We start from the raw sequence: 6332 nt of genomic DNA on the forward strand, positions 1-6332 counted from the left end.
TCTCCTCCACCACTTCCTTTTATCCACCTCAGCAGAATCAACCTGAAGCCATGTGCTTTGTCCTTCAGCCAAGTTCCCTCTTCAATTCCCAAATATCCCTCCAACACACACATTAGTAAAATTTTACTTCATTTCTTTGGCATATGAAAATACAGGCTAAAAAGGTAGTTTTTATAATAATTTTCTTCTAAGGGCTCTGATTGTCCCTAGAAGACGTTACTATTGATTCCTTTTTGTCAAAAAAAAAAAAAAAAAAAAGCAGCTAAATGTAAAACAGCACCAATAACACATCTTTCCAAACAAAAATCCTAAGGGTTTGTTGAGGCACCACTTTTCCCCCATTCCTGATGCTTTTTTCCATATGGGTATACACCTTGGTTTCCCTATAGACATTTATTCACTCCATCTTCGTTGGGGATGTAATTTGGGAAGAAAAAACAGGACTTACATAGCCAGACCCTCCTTTCTTCCTCTTGAGACTGAACTACCCATAAAAACAATTATTCTCCACTTTTCTCCCAAGGCAGCTCTTTGCCTGCCTCCACCAACTGAGGGCCTGCCCAAGTCCAGCACTGCTGGTCATCTGTTGGCACTCTGGTTTGAACATATTCCCTCCAAAATGTAGTTGTTTCCAATGTGATAGTATAGGCATGCCTCAGAGATATTGTGGGTTTGGTTCCACACCACCACAATAAAGCTAATATCTAAATGAAGCAAGTCACACTATTTTTTTTTGTTTTTCAGTGTATATATAATCATATCCTCTGCTGAAGATTTGAACCCCTTAAAGTCATGCATGAGGGCTGCAATCAACTTCTTCCAATCCCTCATTAATGCTGATATTTTGACCTCCTGACATAAATTATAAATGTTCTTAATGTCATCTAGACTGTTGAATCCTTTCCAGAAGGCTTCAATTTACTTTGGGCAGATCCATCCAAGGAATCCCTATCAATCAATGGCAGCTATAGTCTTATGAAATGTATTTCTTAGGCCAGGCGTGGTGGCTCATGCCTGTAATCCCACAACTTTGGGAGGCTGAGGCAGGTGGATCACCTGAGGTCAGGAGTTCTAGACCAGCCTGACCAATATGGTGAAAGCCTGTCTCTACTAAAAATACAAAATTAGCAGGCTGTGGCGGCACATGCTTGTAACCCCAGCTACTTGGGAGGCTGTGGCAGGAGAATCGCTTGAACTCAGGAGGCAGAGGTTACAGTAAGCTGAGATTGCACCATTGCACTCCAGCCTGGGCAACAAGAGTGAAACACCATCTCAAAAATAATAATAATAGTAATAATAAACCTATTTCTTAAATAACAGGACTTCAAAGTCAAAATTACTCCTTGATCCATGGGCTGCAGAATAGATGATGTGCTAGCAGGAAAGGAAACATTAATCTCTATGTACATCTCCACTGGAGCTCTTGAGTGACCAGGAGCATTGTCAGTGAACAGTAATATTTTGAAAGGAATGCTTTTTTTGTTTGTTTTTTCTGAGCAGTATGTCTCAACAGCAGGCTTAAAATATTCAGCAAACCATGCTGTAAACAAATGTGCTGTCATTTAGGCTTAGTTTTTCCATTAATAGGGCACAGATAGCCAATTTGACATAACTCTTAAAAGCCCCAGAATTTTTAGAATGACAAGTAAGCATTGGCTTCACCAGCTGCATTGCCCTTAACAAGAGAGTCTGCCCATCCTTTGAAGCTTTAAAGCGGGCATTGACTTCTCTTCTGGAGGCATTTCCTTCCAATAGAAGACTGGTTCATCTACATTGAAAATCTATTGCTTAGTGTGACCATATTCATCAATGACCTTAGCTACATCTTCCGAGTAACTTGATGTCACTTCTCCAGCAGCACTTGATGCTTCATCCCGCACTTTTATGTTATGCAGAGTTTCTTTCCTTAAACCTCATAAAGCATCCTCTACTAGCTTCAAACTTTTCTTCTGCAGCTTCCTCACCTCTCAGCCTCCATAGCATTGAAGAGAGTTGGGCCTTGCTCTGGATTAGGTTTTGGCTTACAGGAACGTTTTGGCTGGTTTGATATTCTATTCAGACCACTAAAACTTTCTCCATATTAGCAATAAGGCTGTTTTGCTTTCTTATCATTTGTATTATGTTGATTAAAGTAGTACTTTTAATTTCCTTCAAAAACTTTTCCTTTGAATTCAAAATTTGGCTGTCTGGAGCAAGAGGCCTAGCTTATCTTAGCTTTTGACATGTCTTTCTCACTAAGCTTTATCATTTCTAGCTTTTGATTTAAAGTGAGAAATGTGCAACTCTTCCTTCCACTTGAACGTTTAGAAGCCACTGTAGGGTTATTAATTGGCCTAATTTCATTATTGTTGCATCTCAGGGAATAGGGAGGCCCAGGGACAGAAAGAGAAATGGGGAAACATCCAGTTGGTAAAGCAGTCAGAACACATACATCTATGGATTAAGTTCACTGTGTCATACAGGCAGGTGCATGGAGTGCAAAATAGTTACAATAGTAACATCAAAGATTGCTAATCACAGATCACCATAAAAGAAACAGAATAATAAAAAAATTTGAAATATTGCAAGAATTACCCAAATGTGACACAGAGACACAAAATGAGCATATGCCATTAGAAAAATGGTACTGACAAACTTCCTCAATGCAGGGTTGCCACAAACCTTTAATTTGTAAAAAACACAATATCTGCAAAATGCAACAAAATGAGGTATGCTTATGTTAAGAGGTGGAGTCTTTAAGAGGTGGTTAAACCATGAGGGCTCCTCCCTCATAAGTAGTGTTTAAGTCCCTTATAAAAGAAACCACAAAGCATTGGGTTAATTTTCTCTTACTCTTTTGCCATATGAGGAACGAGCATTTGTCCCTTTTGTCCTTCTGCCATTTGAGGAAGCAACAAGAAGGCCCTTACCAGATGCTGGTGCCTTGATCTTCAACTTCCCAGCCTTCAGAACTGTGAGAACTAAACTTCTGCTCTTTATAAATTATAAATTTATGGTATTATGTTACAGTAGTACAAACAGACTAGGACAGTTGGTAAATCTACCTAATTTTTGAGCATATTCAGTAAGCCCATTTGGTTCTGGAACAAAGCCCTCCAACTTAGCATTTGTCAATAGTAAAATTGACATTCTGATTTCTATTGGTAATCCTTTTATATTATTTCAATTTTTCAGAAAGCTGGCAAGGAAGTGGGATGCTATTTAATGGACTTCTATAAATGTTGCAACCTTTGCTATGTGGTCCATAAAAAGAAACAAAAAAGTGGAATTTGAGATGAAAAATTATAATACTAGTGAGGCTAGGGAGTAGGGAGGCCTTGGCTGTCTATGGCTGCCTCCAACTAGATGGCAAATCTACCTAATACTAAGCTACATCCTCCATCTTGCATTTTATTAGTAAGGAAGTTGATGTTTTGGCCTCCATCTGACACTTTTTTATTCAGTTTTTTCAGAACTTGGCTGGGAAGAGGATTTCAAAGAGTAGAAGTTAAAATAATTAGCACAGTAATGAAGAAAAATTACTGAAATAAAATGCAAGCAATCAAATAATTTTTGTTTTCTTCATTTTAAATAGCAAATGGGCACAGAATTGCATGAAACCTAATCTTTGTTTCATGATACTCATCATCTATGCTTGGTTTGTCATTTGTAATATGCTTAATAATGTACTAAATACCTTGACAGTTACATCTTTTAGTCTCCTTTGCTGAATTCACTCCTGGTCCCAACCTAAGAACCACTCAGTTATGAATCTATTCAAGCATTTATATCTGATAAGTTTACTTGAATAGAAGTATATAGGATTATTAACTGAAGCCAGAGAGACAAACGAGGAAACTACTGCAATAATCTAGGCAAGACATAATGAGAATTTTAATTTTGTCACTATCATTAGAAATAGGAAAGCAGTCACCAGAATCTAAAGAAACAGAATTTGGGATTGGCCTTGCCTGTAAGTACAGCCTTAGTTTTCTCAGGTTTTTCTTTTTCTTTTCTTTTCTTTTTTTTTTTTTTTTTTTTTTTTTTTGAGACAGTCTCGCTCTGTCATTCAGGCTGGAGTGCAGTGACATGATCTCATCTCACTGCAACCTCTGCCTCCTGGGTTCCAGCGATTCTCCTGCTTCAGTCTCCCGCATAGCTGGGATTACAGGCACACGCCACCATGCCTGGCTAACTTTTTGTATTTTCAGTAGAGACAGGGTTTCACCATGTTGGCCAGGGTCGTCTCGAACTCCTGACCTCAGGTGATCCTCCTGCCTCGGCCTCCCAAAGTGCTGGGATTACAGGCGTGAGCCACCACACCCTGCCTAGTTTTTTCAGTTTTAAAGTAATGCATTTGAAAAAGAGTCATTTCAAGTGTTCCTTCCTAGTCAGGAAATCTGTGAAGAATATTCAGTGTGAAATCTTTGAAAGTGAAATGAAGCTACCTGGACTCCTCATAGCATGGGATGGTAGAAAGAATTCAAGCTAATCATACTCAGGTTAAGAAAATTCATCCTCAGATTCTTTTTTTAATTATTATTTTGATAGGAGTCTCACTCTGTTTCCCAGGCTGGAGTGCAGTGGCCGGATCTCGGCTCACTGCAACCTCCACCTCTTGGCTTCAAGCGATTCCCATTCTTCAGCCTCCCAAGCTACTGAGATTACAGGTGCATGCCCACACACTCAGCTAAGTTTTGTATTTTTTTTAGTAGAGATGGGATTTCACCTTGTTGACCAGGCTGGTCTCAAACTGCTGACCTCAGGTGATCCACCCACCTCAGCCTCCAAAAGTGCTGGGATTACATGCGTGAGCCACCATTCTAGGCCCATCCTTGGATTCTTTTTTTCAGTTTTTTGACCCTAGATAAATTACTTAAACTTGTTGAGCTTCAGAGTACTTACCTGCAAAACAGGAATAATAGCTACTTTACAGGGTGTTATAAGGCTAAGAATTCTAGGTAAAATACAGAGTACCTGACAAATGCTAGGAGAGTTTATTAAATTGTAGATTTATCTTATCTCTGTTCCATTAAATCTAATTTCCTCTAGTTCCAATGTTTTTAATAAAAATCATCACTGTATTTTGGTATTTTATTATTTTGTTTTATTAGAAGTGTTAGAGTACATTTATTTTTCCAAATTTTATTGTAAAATAAGATTTGGAAATTATGCTATGAATTAAATAGGATTGTATAGGCTGGCCTGGGAGACAAACTGACATTTTCAATATTGCATATATGTGAAAACTTGTTTAAGACTGCAAATGATTGACATCCAAATAAAGTATCAGATAGGACCACTTCCTTATTTGAGAATTTGCTATAAATTGATGGATGGTATTAAAGGTTTATAAACATATCTTAATAATGGGAAGTGCTGCATGAGACAATTTTTATGAAATAGGGCTGAAATTTTGCTTACTTGGACTTATAAAAATGATGAGAAAATGGAGAAAGGACAAGGAGTGAAGGGAAGATGAATAGAGAGGGAGAATAAAGAAAGAAGAAACTCATTGGTTTCCCAAACAGTCACTGCAGAGAACCTAATGGAAGTATGAATTATTCCAAAACCTCTCCAAACTTTTCATCTACATCTTAATTTATATCTTATTTTTTATAAAAAATTACATTTAATTTTAGCAATTCAATTGTGACTGGCACTGTCTATGGTATTTGACAGTCAATAAGAAACGCTTTTTGCTTGAGAGGATGTGGAGAAATAGGAATGCTTTTACACTGTTGGTGGGAGTGTAAATTAGTTCAACCATTGTGGAAGGCAGTGTGGCAATACCTCAAAGATCTAAAACCAGAAATACCATTTGACCCAGCAATCCCATTACTGGGTATATACCCAAAGGATTATAAATCATTCTACTATAAAGACACATGCACACATATATTTATTACAGCACTATTCACAATAGCAAAGACTTGAAACCAACCCAAATGCGCATCAATGATAGACTGGATAAAGAAAATGTGGGACATATACACCATGGAATACTATGCAGCCATAAAAAAGAATGAGTTCATGTCCTTTGCAGGGACATGGATGAAGCTGGAAACCATCATTCTCAGCAAACTAATACAAGAACAGAAAACCAACCTCCACGTGTTCTTACTCATTAGTGGGAGTTGAACAATGAGAACATATGGGCACAGGGAGGGGAACAACACACACTGGGGCCTGTTGGGAAGTGGCAAGCAAGGGGAGGGATAGCATTAGGAGAAATACCTAATGTAGACGATGGGATAATGGGTGCAGCAAACCACCATGGCACATGTATACCTATGTAACAAGGTTCTGCACGTGTATCCCAGAACATTAAAAAAATTATATATATATATATA

The 6332-nt window shown here is 38.1% G+C and overlaps 2 annotated features.

Annotated features, from left to right (window-relative positions):
* Window positions 1187-1356: an enhancer, noted in NCBI's record as "experimental_58616 CRE fragment used in MPRA reporter constructs". NCBI's record gives its function as "activates a minimal promoter by MPRAs in K562 erythroleukemia cells, with activity observed for the introgressed 2:57891305 or rs144892568 variant allele {active_cell/tissue: K562}" and the evidence as "EXISTENCE:reporter gene assay evidence [ECO:0000049][PMID:34662402]".
* Window position 1272: a transcriptional cis regulatory region, noted in NCBI's record as "Neanderthal adaptively introgressed variant 2:57891305 (GRCh37/hg19 assembly coordinates) or rs144892568 in the experimental_58616 CRE". NCBI's record gives its function as "modulates activity of the experimental_58616 enhancer by MPRAs in K562 erythroleukemia cells {active_cell/tissue: K562}" and the evidence as "EXISTENCE:reporter gene assay evidence [ECO:0000049][PMID:34662402]".

Source organism: Homo sapiens, chromosome 2 (assembly GCF_000001405.40).
Source record: "Homo sapiens chromosome 2, GRCh38.p14 Primary Assembly".
Lineage (NCBI taxonomy): Eukaryota > Metazoa > Chordata > Mammalia > Primates > Hominidae > Homo > Homo sapiens.